The sequence below is a fragment of the Homo sapiens genome, chromosome 5 (assembly GCF_000001405.40).
Source record: "Homo sapiens chromosome 5, GRCh38.p14 Primary Assembly".
In the NCBI taxonomy this organism is placed as follows: Eukaryota; Metazoa; Chordata; class Mammalia; order Primates; family Hominidae; genus Homo; species Homo sapiens.
Window position 1 is genome coordinate 103542823 of NC_000005.10, and position 25980 is coordinate 103568802.

General features: G+C 35.4%; 1 protein-coding gene across 4 annotated transcripts, besides 2 other annotated features; it reads right to left on the bottom strand.

Annotated features, from left to right (window-relative positions):
• Positions 1-6032: 6032 nt before the first annotated feature.
• NUDT12 (nudix hydrolase 12) lies at positions 6033-19967 on the bottom strand. 4 transcript variants are annotated; one of them, XM_005272097.4, is made up of 7 exons: positions 19881-19967; positions 17275-17428; positions 16057-16646; positions 13109-13276; positions 11918-12031; positions 9395-9594; positions 6033-8149 (listed from the first exon to the last, which is right to left on the bottom strand). In XM_005272097.4, the coding sequence occupies exons 2-7, from the start codon at positions 17424-17426 to the stop codon at positions 8039-8041; spliced, it is 1335 nt and encodes a 444-aa protein (XP_005272154.1). In that variant the 5' UTR covers positions 17427-17428; positions 19881-19967; the 3' UTR covers positions 6033-8038. The 4 variants fall into 4 exon arrangements, with proteins under 4 accessions (XP_005272154.1, XP_005272152.1, NP_001287670.1 ...); XM_005272095.2 differs by having other exon boundaries at positions 17221-17428; NM_001300741.2 differs by having other exon boundaries at positions 17275-17432.
• Positions 19207-19739: an enhancer, noted in NCBI's record as "H3K27ac hESC enhancer chr5:102897730-102898262 (GRCh37/hg19 assembly coordinates)". NCBI's record gives its function as "activates a minimal SCP1, AML or CMV promoter by ChIP-STARR-seq in primed H9 embryonic stem cells {active_cell/tissue: H9 hESC(primed)}" and the evidence as "EXISTENCE:reporter gene assay evidence [ECO:0000049][PMID:30033119]".
• Positions 19740-20270: an enhancer, noted in NCBI's record as "H3K27ac hESC enhancer chr5:102898263-102898793 (GRCh37/hg19 assembly coordinates)". NCBI's record gives its function as "activates a minimal SCP1, AML or CMV promoter by ChIP-STARR-seq in primed H9 embryonic stem cells {active_cell/tissue: H9 hESC(primed)}" and the evidence as "EXISTENCE:reporter gene assay evidence [ECO:0000049][PMID:30033119]".

A 25980-nucleotide genomic window follows, 5' to 3' on the forward strand; every position in this document is an offset into this window, starting at 1 on the left:
CTCTACAGTCTCATGGGATCAGAATAAGTTATCAGTGGATTTTGGGTAGTGTGTGTACATCTTCACAAATCAGATAACATTCAGAATTTTTATTCTACTTTTTGTAAAAATAATCCGGGACCACGAAAGTGTCGTCACATCTAGTAAGAGTTGAAGATCTGAAACAACACAGTGAAATTCCTGGTGTCATTTTAAAGATCTTTTTGAAAACTTGGTCAGTGGATGATTTTTTTCCCCTAGAGAGAAGATACCAAGACTATCTTATAAGCATCCTAATTGTAATTTCATCACATGATTAGTACAGATTTATTTAAGAAGTTAGATGACTTTACATATAATTAAATGGTCAGTTGCTAGCAACTAAGAGAATTATATCTTAAAACAAATATAGATAATAAAGGTTTATTTTTCAATTTATTTTCCAAACATATAATTTAGGAATACTTATTTAACATCATTTTAATCTGACATTAGATAAACGAGCTAAAATTTAAATTATCCGAGAGGAAAAGGAGATTTAAAAATATCTAATATTTAAATTCTGAGTGAGCACGGAGAAGGTAAAAGGAGCTGGCTGAATTCTTAATGGTGAAAAGAGTCTTTCATAGCAAGTATTAATTTCCATAAAAATCATAGTAAGTGGTCACTGAAAAAATCTTGCTTTCCAAATGCACAATTTGTTTGAAATAACCAGATGTAAAGATTAAGTAACAGCAAGATTGTAAATAGGCTGTTTTGCAGTTTGATTTGGGATTATTTACAAAAAGATGTTGGCCAGAATATTTTGCCTATGAAATTGTTCTAAATCACAGAGTAACTGCAATTGTAATAGAAAAAATTTCAACGTCCTAAATGTCTTCTTTCATGAAATCAGATCAAAATGTTTTAAGTAATTAATATAAAAACAATTAAATATAAACATTTATTTAAGTAAAATTAAGTATAAAATTAATGAAGAAAATTCTACTAACTTAACCAGATGAAAAAATCATTTTGGTGATTAACAAATCTAATGCTGCAATGGATACAAAGCAGAATATAGGAATTCAAAACAAGGTCTACTGCTTTGAAATGAAACTGACCCTTCCTGCATTCAGAATGAATTTCAATTATGTTTAGAAGCCTAGCTTGTCAGTTGCATTTTCCTTGCTTTCCAAATGTGCAATTTACTTGAAGTAACCAAATTAGGATATGGATGGTGCTTATTCAAATGTGCACATGATGTCTTTCTTAGCATAAATAAAAGAGGCCTAAACACATTGATTATTTAGAATTTTCTTTGGATGTATCCATTCTCTCAATTTGGTAACAAAGTAAGTTACAAACAGCTGTTGGATATTTTGTGACAGGAAAGAAATGTTATTAAATTGTCTTCACATATAACATTCAAATAATATTCCCTTTGCTATTATCCTTTGCCAAGGAACTAATTTAGAATGGCAAGGATTGAAATAGAGAATATGGCATTCAAAAAGGAAGAAAAAAGCATGTATAATCAGCTCACCTGGGTAAAGCCTTCATAAATTGCTCAGTTCTGAAGGAGACATGGATAAAATGCAGTATGTATTTTCGAAAAGGAAGAAGCTGAAGATTTGAGTACCTTTTCTTGCTCTACTTTGGATTTATCTGGGTTCTCTAAATCCAAAATCTGATTAGCATATTTAATCTTAAGCAGCATCAGGCATGATCACCCATCCTTTAACGAGTCTATTATCTGTCCTAACCATTCCTAACAGTCTGTTTATATTCAAATATACTTTTAGTAAACAATGATGCACTGTGTGCTTTTGTGGCTTCAGAATTTTGATAGTGGTATTTATTAAACACACCTATGACGTTCACACGGTGCAGATGAAATAGAGGCAAGCCAAACAGAAACAAAAACTTAGATGATCTAGTTCAGCTTTTCACATGGGTTGGGCTAAATATTAGGTAATTCATTTACGTTTGTGTAGTAGACTGGGGCAGAAGCAGTATGGCATATAGTATGGTAGAGGTAACAGACTTTGATTCAGAAGACTTAAATTTCAGTCGGTTTCCATATCCCATGTTTACCTTGGGAAACTGACTTGACTTCTCTTAGATTCAGTGCGCTCATTTGTAAAACTGGGATAAGTATTATAGTTCCTGATATAGAAGTTTTTTAATCCCATGAGATATGTAAATGAAAATATAGTTTAGAAGTACAGTTTAGAATATTAAATAAATGAAAAATTATTTCTATTTATACTAGTAACATATGGAATTAGCCATAATTACTCAGGTGGTCCTAAATGAATGTTAATGCATAACAAAAATTTAGGCTTGTCTATGGCTCTGCAAGAACATAAGTCATAGTATAGTAAGAGGTTGAAGGAAAGGAAAATGATGAAAGTTGAAATGGAAGAGGTAAATTGCCATGCTAAGGAAATTAGACTTTTCCTTTGTCCAAGGACAGTGAGGGGCATTATTTTGAAGAGTTTTAAGTAAGGCAAAGACTAGATGACATTGTTCCTTAGCAAGATCTCCTTGGCTGCAGTGTGAAGAACTGATTGGGAGTGAAACTGGAAAGTAGGGAGACCAGTGTAGGAGGCTGATGCAGAAACCAGATGAATGATCTTAAGTAGGATGGTGGCAGAGGGAGAGACAGAAGATGGAGAGGGAAAGAGAGGGAGATATCAAGATTCAAGAAGTATTAAGACATTAAGAAGACAGGATTTAAGAGATTGTTTGGCTGAGGAGTAGAGTGGGGTAAGGGATAAAGCAGACAAATTAAAACAGTGCCCAAACTTCCATGTTAGGCAATATTATAATAATACAGGAATATAGAATCAGGAAGATGCTTGGGGAAAGATAATTTAATTTTAGACATGCAGTATTTGGGAGGCTCTGGGACATCTAAGCAGGTGTGTTGGACAGTTGGACAGAGAAATGTGGGATCCAAAGAATGTCCTGCAGAAATGTGTAGAGTAACAAGAGAAGACTCAACCTGAAAAATAAGCAAAATTTAGGAGACTAAAGAAGGAAACTGAGACTGGAAGTGCTTTTGTCAATGCAGTTATTAGAAAACGTCTTTAAGATAGCTCTGGTAAGAAAGGAAAGGATCTGGAGTAAAGTATTTGGGCTTAAGCTTTGGCTGTCCTATTAACACCATGACTTTGGAAGTTACCCCATCTTAGCCAACTGTAAAATGGGAATAATAATACTAATATTCATTTTATGGGGTTAAGGATAAAATAACTGTCAACCTTCTATATATAGAGTCATGTGTAAAAATTACTAGTATTATGAGAATAAGCTAAACAGTTATGCTTCCTTAAAAGCTTGTTGTAAATAGAGATCTGTAATTCTTAGAAATATATTGTAAACAACAGGTAAAAAATAACTTTTATAATGTCCAGAAGTCTAAGTTTGCAAAAATTACATTAGTACTGATGTTAGATATACTGAACAAGGAGAATGTATGTACTATTTTCACTGTATAAAACAAAACTCTTTATATGATAAATTTACCATTATAATAGAATGAAAAATGTGTTTATTTTTCATGAGGATGTAGGAAGTGGCTGGGAACTAAAAAAAAAGATTGGTATGGCAAGCCTAGTAATTTGTAGAAAAAGATGGTGTTTTTTGGAAATAATAATTATTAGACATTTCTACAGCCATGAAAACTTTGAGGTCCACACAGATACATGCATATTTTCTCCTGTTACCCCAGAACACACAGAGTTCCAAGTGGCTTCCCACCTGCGGATACACTCCCATGGAAGCTCTCAGTATGATACAGAGAAGGGATGATGGTTGGGACCAACAAAGCACCTTAGGTTTGAATTTGCACACATCCTTGAGCATCTTTTCTTTGGAGTTCTAGTTCCAAATTCTCCAAACTGCTTGGTACTACTCAAATTTGTTCCATAAACACAAGTAAACCTAACAAAAAAGCAAAATAACTCTTAGCAGTAAAGCTGTTGCATAAATGGCATTTTAAATCGTTACCCCCACTGATAGAGATGACTTCAGCTCACTGCTACCTGAGAGTAGTAACAAATATTTATAAAGTACTCTACTGAGACATTCGGAACATCACACTGCTCCAACAGACGATTTCAGGCTAGAGTGAAATGGGCAGGATAAAAGTAAACAAAAATAAAACTTCAGACTGGATCAGCTGTCCACTTACTCTGTTCTAAAATAAACAAGAGTACCATTTTCAATTTCTACTGCTGGGTGGAACTTCCACATGACTAAAAATAAAACCTCCTCACAAGTTAAGTGGTTAGAAGAATGTTCTTAATCCTCCACAGGTGAAGCAAAGAGTTTGTCTGGTATAGTTCCCATGGGCCAGGAATGGAAAGTCAGGGCATTTTTTCATTCTTTATGCTGAGTTTGTCTGTCTCTTATCAGACTTCTAGTTAGAAAGAAAAATATTTCCATTAGGAGAAAGTTTCCCCCCCTCCCCAACTTAAAATCTGTTTAAAATTTCACATCTGACCCACTATTCTGCAGAGTTATCACTATGCCAGGAGTTGCAAAAAGGAGGAGTATTTGTTGTCTGGTGCTATGGCTTTGACTGCTTAGCAAGAAAAAAAAAAAGGAGTAGTCTTGAAGAAATAAAGTTAAAAGTGTCACTTCCATCAATGAATACAACTATATATATGGATATCCTTCAGTAAAAATAGAATGAGTAATTTGCCTCTTAGGCCAATTAACATGCCCAAATATTCATCCTATAGTTGAAAATTCATTATTTTCTCAAACAAGAATTCAGGTTGCTGATTACCTGTCTTCCCTATGCCATCCTTATTTTTTAAATGACCTTCCTTTTGACCATTTCTAGTTTTGGGCAAATAAATGGAATTATTTGAAAATCTATCATATATAATAAAATTCACTCCCTCTTTCAGAAATTCTTTTGAATTCTATCCTGATTGTCCTGGAAGGATGGTAGGGTATAGTGTAGGAAAAAAATATTTTTTTAGTATTTAGTTTATGTTCACAAGTAATTCCTCTAATCAATGACTCATTTTGAAGATGCAGGTACTTGGCAACATTATTACCCCTGCCCCAAAATACAGCCTGTCTTATCTGCTCCTGTGGGCTTAAAGCTCTCAAGCATCTGCCCCCACTTTATCAAGCACCCTCCCCGATCTGCACAGAATATCAAACTTCCCTGCCTTTTCCAACCTCTTGGCAACTACTCTTGCTTTGCCTCAGGACCTAGATCTTATATATTTGAAGATAGAGACTCCTAATTTTGCACATTGGATTTATTTTGTCCTACATATTTTTTTTTCTAATAGAGATAACAGCCCCTTTTAACCTCAACAAATACACAAATTTCACTCAATACCCACCACCCATCTCTCTCTCTCTCTCTTTCTCCCCCTCCCTCCCCCCCCCCAGAACCTAATAACTGGGTCTCAGCCCTAATAAAATTTTCACTGTGAAAATTTTACTCTAAATAATTAATGGATTTGTTTTATAGAACATCTTCACCTAATATTTTGTTGTATCCACATTAGCAACACAGTTCCAGGACCAGCTATCTATTGTTGTTATGTGGGATTAATTTGGCTTATTAACAAACTTATTCTTCCTCCTTCCATCTTGGTCTCTCCCTTTGTTATCCTATTATTTTCTGTCTTCAGCCAAATCCCTAACTGGGTCTTTAAAAGAATTTCTCATTTTTCCAACTAAATAAAATATGTGGGCTTCTAACTCTTCATGTTCCATCAACATGTGAAAATATCAAAATCCAACAATTAGCAGTATTAGACAAGTAATAAAAATTAGATATATCGCTTTAAACCTGAAGAACAAAAATTATTGACTTTATATATGTATGTATATATGTAAGTCTGTTTGTATTTGACCCCAAACTATACTTTAAGATTCAAATCAAAGTTTTAAGTCTCCCAAACACAGACACTTTTAAAAAGGCTTTTGCATTTCTTGTACATTATCAATTCGAAACAGGTTAACGACTGAAATCCAGCTTTTCTCATTTTTCAGGACACTTGTCAAAACATGTTAAACACACACACAAAACAAAATAGATTTTAAAAATTTAATGTATTATTACATTCATTTCCAGTAGAATACATTCACGGCACTATCACATCTACTATTCTTTTGAACTGGCCATTCCTTCTATTTACATAGCTTTTCACCTCTCAGAGGTTGGCAATTTAAGAGTTGTTATTAAAATAATAATTTACCTAGATGCTGATTTTTTCCCAAGTAAGGATTAAATATCCAAAACAAAATGTATAACTACACTTGTTGATACTTTATATTCTACTTTCCTATTTTAACATTATGAAAACCTGGAATTTTACAATGTAATCTTAGAATCTGCAAGTATTAAAAGTACATTTAGAGTAAAACTGAATTTCAAGATGCTCTATTTCATAATAATCAAGGTACATTATTTTCCATATACTTATGTAGCTCGAATTTTATTATGTATCTAAATGTCCTCTGTCAGTTTTAATTTGGTTTAAATTCTTGATACCAATAAGCCTTCATCAATTCCTAAGAAAATCACTGCTCATTAGTAAAATAAAGTTTTATCTGACAGTTATCTTTTATTTAAGTTAAATAAATGTTAAGTATCTAAAATTTTAATTAACAATATTTGGTAAATTAAATTTATTCTTATCATTCCTTCTTTTAATTTTGTCTATATATATTTTTAGTAATAGCTTCTAGTTCCTTTTACAGGGAGAATCGTCCTCTGCATTATATAGTACAGACTGTTGTAATTAGTTATGTAACTTTCACTAATTAGGTAAATTCACCTTTCACAATTTCTTTTTCCTTATCTATAAAATAAGGAAAGCTAATTTCATATATTATCCTTAAGGTCTCTTGTAGCTCTAGCATACATTAGTAAAGATGCAAATTATACAAATTTTGATATTCATAAACTATAATAGCTATTAAATCAATTTCAAAATAGCCTTTCAAAATGTGACTTTCTATGTTGCAAAATTGTGAACTACTATGTTTTGCTTTCTCTAGAATCTTACTGATTCAGCTCTAAAATATACTTACTTTGTCAAGGCTTCTTAGAATGTGTTGAAATAAGGTCAAAGCCAAGATATATTTGAGCATAATAAATAGTATTGGTAATGATTATACAATTTTTTGTTAACACAGATACATCACTCATCACAAAATGAAATAAAGCCAATGTTTTAAATTAAATATGTAAATCTGCCTGGGACTTATTTAATATCCGACCTTTGAGGAGAATTCCTTTCAAGTTTAATTTCAGTGCAAAAGCAGAGAATCTTGGTTTGTCTTAATAACAGCTTTAGGTATAAGTAACATATAAGTAGATATGTTAATTAATTTTAGGTCTAAAAGAGAGGTCCCAGATATAATAGTATGCTTTTCTCCTTCCATGAGGGTGTGGTATTGAGATCACTATTAAATTATTAAATTAGAAAATTCTTAACACTGGTCAAATTAGACGAGTGGCGACACTATAACACCTCCACTGCTAGAACAATGGAACCCCCAGGAAAGAGCAAGTGGGACTACAATGGGGAGATGAACAAAAACCATATATTGACAACTTAAAGGTAACAAAAGGACTAAAAAATCAATGCCAGCTAACTCAAGCTAATACAAGCTAAAAATTCATTAAAATTACTTTGATTCATTTCTCAAATCAGGAACTTTCTTCATCATCAGTTTAATGCTTACAAGAGGCACTGAAATTTATGCACATTTCTAGAACATCTTTCCAACATGATGTCTCTTATTAGAAAAATGGTTTTGTGAGATAAAACTGTGAAGGAAGAAAAGAAACCAAGAGAGAAAAAGTTCAGAGAAGACTGACCCAAATTTAACATAATCTGAGGCAATATTGTAAAAATGTGTAAAAATATGAATTTGTGATTAAGACAGAACACTTTGAAAATATTTCGAAAACCCAACATCGTATTTTGTGTTGTGACACTCTCAAGAGTACTGAATAATCTCTAATATCACTTGAGGAATGAGTGTTATTAGAAATTATTAAATAATACTCAAAGCTTAGTTCTTAGATTTAGAGATTAGGATTTATTCTAATCCAGTGTTTGATTAATTGATGTGCAATAGCTCGGCTTGGTGGCACAAAGAATGCCTGCTGCTTCCCTTTGGTCAGAACATCCAGGACCTAAAACACACCATAATAGAATGCATTAGGATTTCAAAGCTGTCATATTTAAATACTATTCCCATGTTTACATAATTCAATTAAAATGTGATGAGTTTTACAGTGAATAACAACAGTAGAAAGTGACAACATCCATATTTACATGCAAAGTTTTTTTTTTTTTGGAAACAAGGTCTTGCACTCTGCCACCCAGACTGGAGTTGCAGTGGTGGGATCATGGCTCATTGCAGCTTTGACTTCCTGGGCTCAGGCGATCCTCCTGCCACAGCCTCCCAAGTAGCTGGTACCATAGGTGCACCTGGCTAACTTTTTAAAAATTATCTGTAGAGACAGGGTCTCCCTATGTTGCCCAGGCTAGTCTCAAACTCCTGGGCTCAATCAAGCTTCCTGCCTTGGCCTTCCAAAGTTCTGGGATTACAGGTATAAGCCACCACGCCCCGCCTCAACATGCAAAATTTAGGACAGCATTTTTAATTGCTTCACTGAGTAAGTGATTCAGTTTCTAAAATGTTCCAGAAAGACACATTCCCTTATGAAAATGACATCACGAAAAAGCAAAATGTACGCTCCACACTTAATTTCTAAGCAAAGCCAACTTTTGAAACAGATTCTTTTTTATAAAATTCATAAGCAATAATCTAATTTCCATCTTTTAGGATTAAGCATAGAATAAAATTAATTTTATGCAGGCAAAGTCAGAAAGAATTTCAGGTCAGATGAGTAATTTATCTTTTAATATATTATTTAGGAATGACATTTTAGAAAGTTATTTTAAGTGTATGTTTATTATACAGTTATGTCATTCTTGTCCTTAAGTACATTTTAAAATGAATAAAAACTTTCTGAAAATTTTAAGCACTTACTGATGTTTTTTGAGAGCTACTTGTTTTAATGTTATAAACTAAAATATAAAATGTATAAGAATATTCCTGTTTCTCATCTATGAATTAATGTTTTTCTAAACCCACTGATAGGTATTATTATTTATGTGAAGGAATGGAATCTGAAACTCGAAATGGTACAGAATCATCTCTACTAGAAAAATCTCATAGAATAAGTTAATATAGATCACATTAGTGAAACATACTCCTCCTGTATGGAATTACTAATTACCATGTAATCCATGCATAATGAGAGGGCCAAAGGCATCATTCAACTTGCTGAAAATATGCATCCTTGCTCTGTGACCAAACCAATACAGTCAGGGAACAATCAATAGAAGAAGGAAATTAAATTGAACTTTACCTGTTCTCTAGTGAACCAGCGGGCATCCTCTATTTCATTCTTGTCAACTTTAATTTCTGTAGACACTGCTAGAGCTAAGCAACCAATCATTAAGGAGGAAGGCATTGGCCATGGTTGACAAGCAACATACTGAACATGGCCAACTTTGACTCCACTTTCCTCTTCTACTTCTCTCCTAACAGCATCTTCTATTGTCTCTCCTAATGAAATGGAGCAAAAGAACAAGTTGCTGATGAACATGCCCGGGACACTTTGTGTCCTGAATGGTTCAAACATCTGGAAATCACTTTGGACAGAAACCCAATGCAAATAATCAGAAAGCAGAAGCCTAAAACTAGACTGTAATTGAAGAAAACAATTTTTTTAAAGTACATGACCACATATAGAATATCAAAATGCCAACAATAAACTTTTCGTTTTTTTAAGGTACAAATTTGTCAGTTACATTTTAAAAATAATGATACCATCTAAAAATATCCAATACCTAATACTGGTTAAACACTATGCAAACACTTTATATCTTATCTCATGTATATATTGTCCACGAAATAGTTATAAATTACATGATTTTTACAAATAGCTCTTTCACACTAAAATTCTGAAACTTTTTTTTATTATGTTGTCAAACAATTATTGCAGGTAACTCTTTTCAGGTCATTACAAGATTACAAACTACATAAGATGAAATTTAATACTTTTTCTAAGCAATTATTTTCCTCTAGATGACTGCTGACTCTGCTATGGTAAGTGATGCCTATAAATGTACTTTATATTTCTAATTTGTTGGAATTAAGAATTAGAATAGGGGAAATTGTTTCTAAGTAAAATCATTTCTAAGTAAAATCTGGAAGTTTAGAAACATTTTGCTAAATATTGCTGTATTTAGCAAAATATATTTTAAATATAGCTTTCTATTTCAAATAGATTGATAAATTTCCTACATGAAAATTAACTTATAATAATCAAAAGAACACATATAGTAAAAATATAATTATAGACTAGTGTAAGGTATTTGCAAAACCATAACTAACAAAAGATTAGCATATGCTACATATTTAAGAATTCTTAAAATGAATAAAAAAGGATAAACAATGAAAACAAAACTAGGTAAAAGATAAACATCTAAAATTCAGAGAAAAGAAAACTGAATGCCTAATACACATTTGAAAAAAGATGTTCCATAGGCAAGAAAATGAAAATGAAAACGAGATACGATTTCATTCACTCCTCAGAATGACAAATTTAAAAGTCTGAAAATCCTAACTTGGTGAAGATGTGGAATAATGGAACATTTCATGTTCTGCTGGAGGAAGTGTAAATTGGCAGAAACACTTCAGAGACAACTTGGCAACATACAGAAAAGGTTAAGATGCTCATAACACATGAGCTGGTCGTACTACTCTATGTATATAACCTAGATAACTCTTGCAAATGTGCACAAGGAGAAGTATAAAAATATTAATTGCAGTGCTGTTTGTAATAAGAACTTTAAAATAAACTAAATGTCCAATCAGCAGAATGGATAAATAGTGGAATATCCATGAATGGATTACTACCCAGCAGTTAAGACAATGACCTAGAACTACTAAAGACAGCATAGTGATTTGGAGCAAGAACTCAGAAACCAACATGCCCAGGCTTAAATCCCTTCCTTATCACTTATTAGCTGTTTGATCTTGAGCAAATTATTTAGTCCCTATGCCTTAGTGCCCCTACCTGCAAAATCACTGTAATAGTGTATTTTATAAGGTTGTATAAGGATCATACAAAAAATATATATAAAGCATAGCCTGATACTGTTTTATATATATGATATGATCCTCCTCCAAAACACAGCCTGATACTATATGTTTACTGTTATTATCTAGCAATGCAAATATTGGAAATTGAAATTGAGATAAAACATATTAATTAGATGTATTCATTCACTCCACAAACATTTACTGACTTTCTACTACATGTGCTACAGGCATGTGCTATGAGGGTTTCAGATACAGCAGTGGATAAAATAAAGTCCCTGTGCTTATGAAACTTATATTCTTGAAACATAAGATAATAAATTAGTAAGTACATATATACATACTTACATACGGTATTAGGTGATGATGAGTGCCATAGGGAAAAATCAGGAAGGATGATAGGGATTGTGAATGCAGGGTATGGGGGCTAACTAATGTATCTGGGGCAATCAAGCAAGGCCTCTTTGAAAAGGTAACAGTTGAGTCTAGTACAGAAGGAAATGAGGTGGAACCTAGATACCTGGGTCAAGAGCAACATATCAAAGAGCAAATACTGAATTTTTAACAAAGCAGACCAAATTACTAGGAAAAGTAATTTATATAATTCTCATATAAAACATGAGAATTACATGTTTATATTATTAAAATTGTATCATTTTTAAAATACCTTAAAATAACCGAGTTTTATAACATGATAATTTATCAGAGATTATTTCTCAAATGTTACCTAAACTTTGTATTTTAAAATTATAAATTAAATATAAATTATTAAGAAATGGCTTACCAGGCTCAATAAATCCAGCAAGGCAAGTAAACATGCCTGGGGGAAATCTTTTCTGCCTGCCTAAAAGGCATTTGGTCCCATCTGGATGAATAACTTGCATGATTACTACTGGATCTGTTGAAAAAAAAAATCAGATACATGAATGGCAGGAAAAACGAATTTAGATTCATTGTACAAACACTGTCTGATAGGATAATATAAAGGTATATCTCCTATAGGGATAGAACTCTTGTCTGGTTGTAAGAGATTGCTTCTTTCTGCCCTAATGTAGCTGATAATAGAATATCTCAGGGAAATTGTATAGAATAGTGTCAGTAAGCTAAAGGAAGACCATTTTTGTCCTTCTTCCCCCAATCTTAACAGCAACATTTATTCTGTACTTATGGATGTTAGGTGTATTATTACTTTTTAATGAGAAAAAAATTTGAGTAGGTAATACATGGAAATAAGGAAAATTCAAATTTTACCACGGTAAATAGTTAATTTCCCTCTTCCATCCTAACCCTTAACAAAATGTTTTTAAAAGCTAATGTGATTCTATGATTAAAGTCATTAAATAAAATTTAAATAACAGTTCATCTCTCTAGAAGTTACTAATTCAGCAAATTCTTCTCACTATATCATGACCAAGAACTAGGAATTAAATGTAAAAGGCTCTTGAGCAACAAAAATAGATGTCACTAAGCCATGTATTTTTCTCCCCAGAGGCCTCCTCAGGTGTTGCTGAGCCTATCTATTCTTCTTTCACACAGTTTTAAAGGTCTGGGTTACCAGATTTCCAAATCTACAGCAGACTCAAGGCAGCAATTAGAAGAGAGAATACAGGCAGACATTAACAGTAATGAAAAGCTAGGGCCAGGCTGTACTGCTTTAGTAATGCCTCAAACAGGCAATAAATTGTACTTAGTGGGGCTTTTTCTCCACTAAGTAGAGCCAAATTGGTTGGCTTTTGAAATCATGTATCATAACATATCAAATTATAGTGAGTAACCCAAAGTTAAGAAATGGCTATTGATGTACCATGTTTTTTACTTAAAAATCATGAAAGTGTGTAACACTTTAACACATTCTTAATGGTTAGACATGTTTTCCATAAAAAGGAAAACTCTTTAGCTCCTCACAAATTTTCTCTTTCCAAAATATCTTATTCCCCAAGATCCAGGTGGCTGAGATATAAAATAAAGGGCTTACCAACTCTTGGGTATGAGGTATTATGGACGCCATTGAGACTAGGACAGTCTTCTTTTAAACATAATCTCTTATAGCCACCTTCTTCAATTTTAGTTGCATTTCCACAGGTTGGGCAAAACTTGTATCGACTGTGCCAGGCAAGAACAGATCTTGCTTGAGCTACAACCCCTTCAAAAAAAAGAAAAGCACAAAAATTTTAATTCTGTAAGAAATTAAAATCAATATATAAGTAAAATGTTCTCAAGCTACAATAAGAATAGCTGTGTGATCAGGGGTTTTAGTATTTCTATTTTTATAATGCGTATTCTTCTTTTAAAGTAAAAGATTTAATTTTCTGGATTACAAAAATTAGATTTTTTTGTTTGAATAAAATATAACTTTCATATAAGATAGACATACTGACATCTATCTTACATCCTATATTAGATCAGGCTTTTACTGTAGGTGATTTTAAAATTTGGGGTATTCATGATTCTAGTGTAGAGTAAGTTTACAAACAGTGATTTTACAATAGTGATTTTAATAAAAATATACCACAAAGTCAGTTCTTAAGTGAGATTTGTACTCTAAAGGAAATATTACTAGGAAACTGTAGGAGGCTATCACCACTCTCTTGGTGACTATGCCATTGATGGTCCAAGCCATGTGGAACACAACCTGTTTTCAACTGGAGACTGCATGTACACAGTATAAAACACACTGCATTTACTACATTCATGGTTAACTTTGTTTACCAAAAAATGCCTAATAGGATAAATCTTAAAATATATACACTTTAGCTATAGGTTTTACTCTGGTAGTTCAAAAAAAGTTAATATGGCCTGGCCAGAAATATTACAGTTGAGGCAATAAGACTAGAAATGCTATATGTTAAATGCTTGACAAAGTTACCCTCCCTAAAATAGATTATTTGGTCTACAGATTTTTGAAATGAACAAAATAATAACAAAAATTCTAACATCGTTTAAACTGGGAAAAATAAATAAAACAGTTGTAATGAATAGACAACATTACGTTTTTGCCTGCTACGTAACCTTGTAATATGTAACTTACACTAGGGTATTTACATTATTTCAGAATCATCACAATAAGAAAAGCTAACATTTATTGAGTACTTACAATGTGCCAAGCACCATGCAAGGAATTTTATATAGATTATTTAATGTTTAGAGCAACCCTAAAGAAGATAGATACTATTATTATCATTTTCTTTAGGAGTAAACTGAGTCACAGAAAAGTTAAGTAACTGTGTAAACTTATAGAGCAAGTGAGTTAAAAGGCCTCAGTTTTCCTACAAGGGAAAAAAGCAAGCAACTAGCTCATTTATCAGATCTTTTTGATCTTAAAATGATATATATATATATATATATATATGTCTAAAGAAAATAAATTTTCTTAAAAAAGTTTGATGATTTCTCCACAGGTGTGGAGAATAAAACATACCACACCAGACTTTGAGGAGGAGATATTTAAGCAGTCTCTGGAAGGACCTCTATCACCTAAGGGAAGGTGGTCACTGACAAGTGACCTATTCCTAACTTCCCAGTAACTCATCAGTCTACCATAATCTGGTTTCTGTTCGTTTCACTCCACTGACGTTTCTCTTGTCAAGTTCATCAATAGCTTCATATTACCAAAGACAAAGATGCTTTAAAAAACAAAACAAAACAAAAAAACCACTTTGCCTTCATCTTACTCAAGTTCATAACAGCATTCAATACATTTGACCACTCCCTCCTGGAAATACTCTGCTGTCTTGGTTTCCCTGAGGCCTCTTGCTCTCTTCCTACCTCATGGCCACACTGTTTCCAACTCCTTTGATGGCTCTCCTGCTTGCAGCTTACCTTTAAATTTAGGGGGATTCAGGTCTTATTCTGAGTTTTTCTTGCTTCCTCTCAACTCTCCAAGTAATCTCAGTAGTTTTTTGGGATTTAAGTATCTGTGTGTTGATGACTGCCATATGGGTATTTCCAGTTCAGACATCTGATTGTAATGTCCATTTCTAAAACTTAGTATGCCCAAAAGTAAACTCTTGATTTTTTTAATCCAAGTCTGTCCTGCTTTCCTTGCTCTAACCATCATCCTATATTATTGAGAAATGGTATCACTATATACCAAATTATTAAAGTCTCTAGCCTAGCAGTCATTCTTAATCTTTTCCTTCATTATTATATATCCCATATCCAATTCAATAGCAAAGACCAGTGATTTTCTCTCCAAACTTTATCTTGCATATACCCTCTTTCCTCCATTTCTACTATCAGTACCTTAATTCATGCCATATTACCACCATCTCTCACTTATAAGGGTCTCAACCTACAGATCAAGCCCTATCCCTTCTACCTCGAGAATACCTCAGATTCTCCCTTTGTCTCCATCTCCACTGCCTCCATTCTAACTCAAGCCATTGCAATCTCTTACTTGGGCACCTGTAATACTCAATTCCCTCTTAACAAGACTCCCAACTTTCACACTTACTTACTTACATGTGTACAATTTATGCTCTATGATGCAGCCAGTGTGCAGTGTCTTTTTTAAAAAAATATTTTAAACACAGGTTAGGTTACATTTAAATGGCTTTAGAATCAAACCCCAATTTCTTACCATGCCATAAAAAGCCCCATCAACAGAATACAAAACAAAACAGTCAAAGTCTTTGCCATCATGTTCTACGTGTAGCAGGAACTAAGAATTATTCAATGAAGAATCAAATGAGATCATCATGCACCAGGGTTAATTCTCAGGAAATCAGTCTGGGCTGATTAGAACTACTAACTGCCCAGGAGAGTAGTCCCCTAGGGTGAGAACTTTAAGAAGTTTCTGATGAAGACAGTCTAATTTCACTGCTTACTGGAAAAAGAGTGCCCCTGGAAAGTGCAAATACATACAACTCCAACTCAAGTCTAAAAACCAGATTTTACCAATGAAAAGCAGCATTCATTTCTTACCAGCTTCTTTTTCTTTCAATTGCAGAAGGGCTGGCATAGGAGGATGAAGAAAGTAACAATTTTCATGTCTTTGCTTGAATTCTTCAGCAGCAATAGGATCTATACCTAGAGCAAACCAGGCAACCAATCCATCTTCCTCCTCTCTCGGGACTTCACCAGCATAATTAAGTAGTTTGTCTTTTATTTCAAGTTCTACTCCAAGAAAAATCAAGGTGATCTTCTCAGGCTGGGCCAAATAATCCTTTATATCTGTGTAGTTCAGCTGACAAAGCCTAACTTCTGGCTGTTGGAAACTTTCTTTATTGCCACCTAGAGTAACCAAGGGATTTAAATCTGAGAAAAGAATAAAAACTGTGGCTGGATGGCTTTCTTTAGCTAGCAGCCAGTCAGAATTATTTCTCTTTTCACTTTTCCGGTCCAGTAGTGTTTTGCTAAAATAATTTTCACATTCTTCCACTTCATTCGTTAGGAACCAAGGCTTCTTCCCACCTTTAGCAGTAGCTAGTAAATTAGCTATATGCTTATAACCCCAAAATACAGCAATGTCCAGTGCAGTCTGCCTTGATTTATTGACAATTGATCTGTCACACCTATAGATGGAAGAAAAAATTGGGGAGAAAAAGTAAAATAGGAAGTAAACACTTTCTCCGTATTTATTTCACTAAAATATTTCCAGATACATATTAAAGTCCTTCTTTTTAATGATTACATAGATTTTTTTTCTTTTGTTACATAGTTTACTATTGGGAAGGTTAAAAGAACAATCATAAATGACAAAAAGTTAAGAGACAGTGGATACTTACACTTTCTGGATAATTACTCACAAAATAAAACAGTATTAAGCTTTATGCACTATAAAGAGATACCAAAATTCTACAAGAAGTCCTTGGTAGTCATAGTGAGATCTGCATTTTCTATTTGGGAGGAAAATTTATAATTAGACTCCTCATAAATTTGCTTTGCTATAAAGAAATAATTTCTCAATGAAAAAGGTTACAAAGTTTTAAGTTAGAAAAATTGTGCTACATTTTTACATAAATTAGCCAATGAGTTATTTAGTAGTTCAACAATATAAATATGGAAACAAGCAAAATTTTAAAGTAAATATGTAACAAAGAAATTAAACCACAAACCCTTTCAGGTGGTACAGCCTAAAATGTTTACCCTTTCTCAAGCAGAAATTGGACTATCTCTGGGTGCCCATTCCTTGCCGCATACATTAAAGCAGTCCAGCCATTTTCAGAAGTTTCATTGAGAAGAGATGGAGAATGACTGAGTATTCCTGTTAACTTGGCAATATCTCCTTCAGCAGCTGAACAGTGAAACTGAGTAACTATTTCTTGCTTCAGACTTCTTTTTACAGAAGACATTTCTTCCTTAAAAGAAGGAAAATCAGGGGAAAAAGCTTATTTGCAACTGCTTTTTTATCAATGAACAATATTGATAAATAGCAATAGAATAATAGCAATGGTTTCCAAGGCAACATACTATTCAACAGGCAATCCTTAAACAGCATACATTTCAATTTCAAAATGTTATCAGTTTAGAATTATAAAATGCAACGCAATTTATATGCCCATGGGAGTTACACAAAATAATGAATAAAGAGCTCTGACAGTACAGACGAGGGGGCCATATCCTTGGGAGGGGGAACCAGGTAACATATTACATAAGGAGGAGGTATTTAGGGTAGACCAGAGGGGACTTCACGATGGGTGGGGACATGAGGGGGAGAGCATTAAAACAGATGGAAGTAAAGGCAGAGACTTTATAAGTTTCACAGGAAAACAGTTTATTGTTTGACCTTGCACAATTAATTCTGTAATCCATCTAGGATCTATTTTTGTTCATGGCATGAGGTAGGGGTCAAGATACTTTTTTACCCAATGCATAATCCATATTACTCCGTATTATTCTTGAAATTACCATCTTTGTCCTACTACACTGAGACAAATATTGTCACAAATCAGATGATCATATATTTTTGGTTCTATTATTGGACAGTTCTGTTGGTCACTTTGTTGTCCTTGAATCAGAGCAGCTTTTAAAACTCATTAACTTTATCTGCTTTGTCACCTTTTTGTTTCGGTGGGGTAAACCCTGAAATAATTGTTCCATACCTCTTAAATATTGCCTAATCATGGACTGCAGATGATAGAGCACACACTGAGCTTTTTTTGTCTTTTTTTTTTTTTGGCGGCGGGGGATGGTGAAAATGGTTCATGATTCAACTGTCTGTGAACTTCTCAAAGTATTTTTTTTTAAGGTATAATTCTTCTTTCTATGAAATGCTATTAAGAAAAGATTTGGGATTCTAACAACATTTCTATCATTCTAAGCAATAAGATTTTTAAGCTAAAAAGACAGAAAGGTTATAGCCCATAGTTTTTGATAGCTGCTGTCTCCTGGGTTCTGAAAGGGCGATCTGGCTGATGAATTGCATAGCAGGAATAGTATGAACAAAATTTAGGGAAAACAAGGAGTAAAGATTAATTGTCTCATTTTGGAGCTGTTCACCTTTCCTATTTGTGTCTTTCTGCTACTTATAAATAGGTTAAAACTGCTCACAGTCATGGAAACACTTGGATGAAACCTAACAGTGGAAATCTGTTTAGAAATTAAATTACCAGAAGTAATATCTACATGACAGAATAATTTTTGATTTATTCTAGAATTTACTTCGCTGTTCCTTTCATATTGAAATTTCTACATACGTTAAAAATACTATGCATAACAAAAGCTACAAATTTTCAGGACTTTATTTTGAAGCACTGCTGTACAGCTCCTGTACTGATCTCCCTTCCAAATTGTCTTTCTCTTAAGTTTATTTTCCAAAAACCCATATTATAGTTTTTTCAGCTAGGTTTAGTTTGAATAATATTTCACTGTCTCATGTTCTGGGGTCACCGTCACTCCCTCACATTCTCACAGGCCGCGCCAGGTAACTGCAAAATTGTCCTTCAAAAATACAGCGTCATTCACTACCTCCAGGGCAATGCTTATGCATATGCTATTCTGTGGAGATGGGAAGTGGAAAGTGTACACTTTTCCCTCTAGCTTTCTCAGCAGAAAAGCCATCTAGAAATAGTACCATTATTCATTCCAGAGAAGCACATAAAGTCTAACACCCAATTCTACTGTTTGATTTACTTTTTCAATTCTCATTGACAGGTTATAGAAGGTAAAGATTTGAAGGCAGAATAAAGTGCTGCCCTTGTTTTCCAAGAAGCTCAAGGACTATTCCGAGAAATCATTTAAAAGAATATTAGATGTAAAGGGACATAAATTTTTAACAAACCAACATCCACTTTTACTGACATGTAACCCGGGGCCCATGACTTCCGCATGCTCACACAGACCGAATGGGACAGGACAGGACCTTAAATATCGCTCTGTCACTGAAATCACTGACCATCAATTAACGAATTTCATCCACTCCCTGGGCACTCAAGACCAATTAAGTGCCACCCGTGCACGGTCTCTGAAAATGGTAAAATGCCTTAAGATATTTTACTTTCTTGCCACTACTGTGAGATTCCTTCTTTCGAGGTGAAATCACACCCTAAGTAGCGCTTCCTTTTCCCCATCTCAGCTTGGGCAGGAAACTCTACGACCTCAGTACCGCCGCACCTCCGCCCTGTCGCGGGAGCCCCTGCAAATGCGTCCGTGGCTCCCGCGCCTGCGCCCACCAAACCACTACGAGGCTCCGCCACACAACTCAGCAGGGCCACGCAGGGCAGCGCGGGAACCAAAGAGCCCAGGGAAGTGGTCACCGCCCCCAGAGGAGGCAATGAGACGACTAACTCCCCACTGCTTCTACTAACCCAAAGGTGACCACAGTAGAGGCAACCAGGATGCAGTCCAAAGATTGGGATATCCCACTCGCTTTTCCTGGAGCCGGATGCAGTCTTCCCGACTTCCGGTGGAGATCCGGGGGTGGGGGGGGGGCGGGAGGGGGGCCCCCGCGGTTTTATGGGAGATGTAGTTTGAAGCCCACAGGTTGTGCGCAAGGGAGAAGGGGTGGAGATTGGGGGTGGAAGTGTTTGGGAGCCGGCGCGGGAGAGATCGCGGTCTAAAGGATTGGAGCTGAATGAAGGGCTGAAAATCCTTCTCCTGAGACTGTGATGTGTAGATAGAACGTGGTGCAGGCGATCGGAAAACTGTAGGCCTAAGGAAACGATTTTAAATTTTCCAGCGTCTCCCACCCAACTCCTAGCCCTCTCTCCAATACAGTCCAATGCAATTGAGTGCTCAAAGCATTCTTTCCTGTTAAATAATCCTGGACTATTGACTAGACCAAGTCACTCTTAAACGAGATATTCGGCCTCTGTAACACCTTAATCATTCACCCCATGGGAAAACTGGTATCATATACTGACGCCTAACTTATTCAGTAGTCCTTTAAAAAGTATGTATCAAGCGCGCAAAACACCTCCTTGGGTTGTGAGGTGTAAATAGGATAATGTATCCAAAGCTCTTAGGATGTTGTGAAGTGCAGAGTGGGCACCCACAACAAAATTATTGTCGTTATTTTTTATTTCAGTTCCTGTGCTTTTATGCTCCAAAACCTACAGAAGTTATGAGTCCGAGATTACAAAACTAGGTGTTGGCGGTCTTCTAACTTCCAGACCAGGGCTTTTTCCTTTACTAAACTCTCTCCTTGGTAATCAGCAACAGCTACAGGGGTCTCTTACAATTGATCACTGTTTCCCACCCAGATTTTACCCTTGGAAGCTCCTTCTCACTGTGAAGCTGTATGCACCAGTTGACATTGATCATGAGGGCTTCTAACGCCCTGTGCTGCTGTTTTTTTTTTTTTTTTCTTTTTTTTAGATGGGTTCTCACTCTGTCACCCAGGCTGGAGTGCAGTAGTGCGATCTTGGCTCACTGCAACCTCCGCCTCCCGGGGTTTCAAGTGATTCTCCTGCCTCAGTCTCCCGAGTAGCTGGGATTACAGGTGTGCGCCACCAGGCCCAGCTAATTTTTGTATTTTTAGTAGAGACAGGTTTTTGCCATGTTGGCCAGGCTGGTCTGGAACTCCTGACCTCAGGTGATCCATCCGCCTTGGCCTCCCAAAGTGCTGGGATTACAGGCGCGAGCCACTGCACCCGGCCGCCCTATGCTTCTTTATGTGACTAGTTGTTTTCAGCCTTTAATGATTTCAGTGACCAGACAGGTGGTCAGAAAGGATTAGTTACTTCACTTGGAGTACCCAATCTTTGCATTCAAACATATGTTAGATTAGTATAGTGAACCCTCGTGTATTAATGATCCAGAGTCAACAACTATTAATATATAGTTCTCCCAGTTGTTAGGATTGTTTTGAAGTAAATTCCAGACCCCATATTGTTTTGATGACAAATATTTAAGAGTAAACTTTTTGGAAATATGTATTATATCTAAAATATAAGGGCTTTGAAAAACAACACAACTTCAATATCCCTAGTATTACAAATTTAACAATAATTCTGTAATAACATAAAAGAAACATTCAATATCAAATTTACTCACTTGCCTCAGAAGTTTTATATGTTTTTCAGTTGATTCATCTGAACAAAGTCTCCACATCACATTTGATTTTTAAAAATCTATGGATTCCTTCCTCTTCCCCTTTTTTTCTGGCAGTTTATTTACTAAAGAGTAATGATCATTTGTTCTGTAGAATTTTCCACATTCTGAATTTTGCAGATTTTATTCCTGTGCTGTCCTTTCCCCCTGTATTTCTTGCAAACTGGTAGTTAACTTTATAGAATTACTCAGATTAAAGTTTGATTTTTTTTCACAAAAGACTTTATAGGTGTTACAGTTTACTTTGTATTGAATTACTTCAAGAGGCTTACAACTTCTGGTTGTCTCTCTTTTTTTAATGTTATACTTGATCATTGGGTTCAGATGTTGTCAACCTGATAACATGTATGATAAATAATAATATAAATATTATAAAAATATGGTAAATGTTTATGATAAATATATGACATTGATATATAATTATGATAAATATAATTATATTATTTAAATATTAAATTTATGATAAATATATTATAAATTTTTCCATCAACTTTTCAGCTAATAGTTTTAGCAGCCATTCATGATTATTGCCTGCATCCATCATTTTGTTATGAGTTGCAAATAGTGATATTCTAATTTGATATTCACTCTACATTTACTAACAAATTATTTTATAATAAAGAACTTCATCTAATTAAATATCTATACAGCTTATATGGAAAGATAGGATAAATGTGCGATTTTCACCATTATTTCCTAATCTTCAGAATAATTAGTTAGTTCCCTAATATCCTTCAGGTAAGTATACAAACGTGCCTTGTTTTATTGCACTTTGCTTTACTGTACTTCACAGATAGTACATTTTTTACAAATTGAAGGTTTATGACAACCTTGTGGCAAGCAAGTATATAGGTGCCACTTTTCCAACAACGTGTTCACTTTGTATGTCTATCACATTTTGTAATTCTTGCAATATTTCACACTTTTTCATTATTATATCTGTTATGGTGATCTGTGATCAGTAATCTTTGATGTTACTATTGTAATTGTTTTGGATTGCCACAAACTGCACCCATATAAGTTGGCAAACATAATCAATACACGTTGTGTGTGTTCTCACTGCTCCATCCACTGGCTATTCTTATCTCTCTCCCTCTCCTCAGGCCTCCCTATTCCCTGAGATACAGCAATATTGAAATTAGGCCAATTAATAACCCTACAGTGGCCCCTAAGTGTTCAAGTGAAAGGAAGACGCACACATCTCTCACACATTTTAAATCAGAAGCTGGAAATTATTAAGCTTAGTAAGAAAGGCATGTCAAAAGACAAGACAGGCCAAAAGCAAAGCCCCTTGCACCAAAGAGTTAGCCAAGTTATAAAGGCAAAGGAAAAGTTCTTGAAGGAAATTAAAAGTACTACTCCAGTGAACACATGAATGGTAAGAAAGTGAAACAGCTTTATTGCTGATATGGAGAAGGTTTTAGTGGTCTGGGTGGAAGATTAAACCAGGCATAATATTTCCTTAAGCCAAAGCTTTATCCAGAGCAAAGTCCTAACTCTCTTCAGTTGTATGAAGACCGAGAGAAGTGAGGAAACTGCAGAAGAAAAGTCGGCATCTAGCAGAGGTTGGTTCATGAGGTTTAAGGAAAAAAGCCTCCTTCATGACATAAAAGTGCAAGTTGAAGGAGCAAGTGGCGATGGAGACGCTGCAGCAAGTTACCCAGAAGATCTTGCTAAGAGAATTGATGAAGGCAGCTAAACTAAACAGCAGACTTTGAATGTAGAAAAAAACAGCCACCTATTGGAAGAAGATGCCGCCCATGACATCCATATCAAGAGGTGACAAATCAATGCCTGGCTTCAAAACCTCAAAAGACAGGCAGACTCACTTATTAGGGACTAATGCAACTGGTGACTTGAAGTTGAAGCCAATACTCACAATTTTGAAAATCCTAGGGCCCTTAAGAATTATGGTAAGTCTACCCTGCCTGTGCTCTCTAAATGGAGCAACAAAGCCTGAATGACAGCACATCTGTTTAGAGAGTGGTTTACTGAATAAGCCTACCGTGGCCACCTACTGCTCAGAAGAAAAGTTTCCTTTCAGGGCCAGGCGCGGTGGCTCACACCTGTAATCCCAGCACTTTGGGAGCCCGAGGCGGACGGATCATGAGGTCAAGAGATGAAGACCATCTTGGCTAACACAGTGAAACCCTGTCGCTACTAAAAAAAAAATAAAAAAAGTAGCCGGGCATGGTAGCGGGCACCTGAAGTTGCAGCTACTCAGGAGGCTGAGGCAGGAGAATGAGGCTGAGGCAGGAGAATGGCGCAAACCCAGGAGGCAGAAGTTGCAGTGAGCCAAGAGATCGCACCACTGCACTCCAGCCTGGGTGACAGAGCGAGACTCTGTCTCAGAAAAAAAAAAAAAAAAAAAAAAAAAAAAAGATTCCTTTCAAAATATTACTGTTAATTGATAATGTATCTGGTCACTGAAGGGCTCTGATGGAGATTTACAGGGAAATTAATGTTGTTTTCATACTTGCTGGCACAACATTCTGCAGCCCACAAATCAAGGAGTAATTTTGACTTTCAAGACTTATTATTAAAGAAATACATTTTGTAAGACTATGGCTGTCATATATAGGGATTCCTCTGGTGGATCTGGGCAAAGCAAATTGAAAAGCTTGTGGAAATGATTCACCATTCCAGATGTCATTAAGAACATTTGTGATTCGGGCCATGTGTGGTGGCTCACACCTGTAATCCCAGCACTTTGGGAGGCCGAGATGGGCAGATCACCTAAGGTCAGGAGTTCAAGACCAGCCTGGCCAATATGGTGAAACCCCACCTCTACTAAAATTACAAAAATTAGCCAGGCTTGATGGCGGGTGCCTGTAATCCCAGCTACTAGGGTGGCTGAGGCAGGAGAATCGCTTGAACGCAGGAGAATTGCTTGAACCCAGGAGGCGGAGGTTGCAGTGAGCTGAGAGCACGCCATTACACTCCAGCCTGGGCAACAAGAACAAAACTCCATCTCAAAAAAAAAAAAAGAACATTTGTGATTTGTGGAGGAGATCAAGCTATCAACATGAACAGGAGTTTGGAAGACATTGATTCCAACCCTAATGGATGACTTTGAGTGGTTCAAGACTTCAGTGGAGGAAGTAACTGCAGATGTGGTGGTAGTAGCAAGGTAATCCAGATTAGAAGTGGAGCCTAAAGATGTGTCTGAATTGCTGCAATCTCATGATAAAATTTGAATGAATAAGGAGTTGCTTCTTATGGGTGAGCAAATAAAGTGGTTTCTTGAGATAGAATCTACTCCTGGTGAAGATGCTGTGAACATTATGGAAATGACAACAAAGGATTTGGAATATTATAACAATTCAGTTGATAAAGTAGTGGCAGGTTTGAGAAAATGGACTGCAATTTTGAAAGACATTCTACTATGGGTAAAATACTATCAAGCAGCATCACGTACTATAGAGAAATTTTTTGTAAAAAGAAGAGTCAGTGATGTGGCAAACTTTATTGCGTCTTATTTTAAGAAATTGCCACAGCCACCCCAGCGTTCAGCAGATCAGTCAGCAGCCACCAACATTGAGGCCAGACCCTCTACCAGCAAAAAGATCATGACCTGCTGAAGGCTCTGATGATCATTCGTATTTTTTTAGCACTAAAGTATTTTTAATTGTTATGTACATTTTATTTACACATAATGCTATTCCACACAATAGACTATAGAATAGTATCAACATAACTTTTATATGCACTGGGAAACCAAAAAAACGTATGGGCATCACTTGACTGTGATATTTGCTTTATCGTGGTGATCTGGAACAAAACCTGCACTATCTCTAAGATATGCCAGGCTGGGTGTGGTGGCTTACGCCTGTAAACCCAGCACTTTGGGAGGCAGAGGCAGGTGGATCACGAGATCAAGAGATCGAGACCATCCTGGCCAACATGGTGAAACCCTGTCTCTACTAAAAATACAAACATTAGCTGGAGGCTGGGGCAGGAGAATCGCTTGAACTCAAGAGGTGGAGGTTGCAGTGAGCCGAGATCACACCACTACATTCCAGCCTGGCAACAGAGCCAGACTCCATCTCGGGGGAAAAAAAGAGAGATGCCTGTATTTATGAACACATTGATGCTAACATTTTTAATGTATTTCAGGTCATTGACATTATTTTAAAATATTTTTATAATATTTATTACTTTGATCCTCAAATTGTTTCTTACTTGACCAGTGGGAACCACCTCAAGTGGGCTTCTGAGTTTTTTGGACCAGACCCCTGCAGTGTTTGATAGCTTACTTCCTTTTTGGTATGACAAAATGTTTTAGGCTAATCTTGTAAATATTTTGCTCCAGACCTGGAGTCAGCCATTTCTCCAAAGAGCCTTCGTTCCTTTTAG

What these genes read in the sequence shown, in the direction of transcription:
- NUDT12 (XM_005272095.2), bottom strand. Translation starts at nt 17,426, where the DNA reads ATGTCTTCTGTAAAAAGAAGTCTGAAGCAAGAAATAGTTACTCAGTTT. An exon ending in ATTGAAAGAAAAAGAAGCTG is followed by an intron (nt 13,277 to 16,056) that starts GTAAGAAATGAA and finishes TTTTTTTTGAAG; the next exon opens with GGGTTGTAGCTCAAGCAAGA. An exon ending in TGCTGGATTTATTGAGCCTG is followed by an intron (nt 9,595 to 11,917) that starts GTAAGCCATTTC and finishes CCATTTCATTAG; the next exon opens with GAGAGACAATAGAAGATGCT.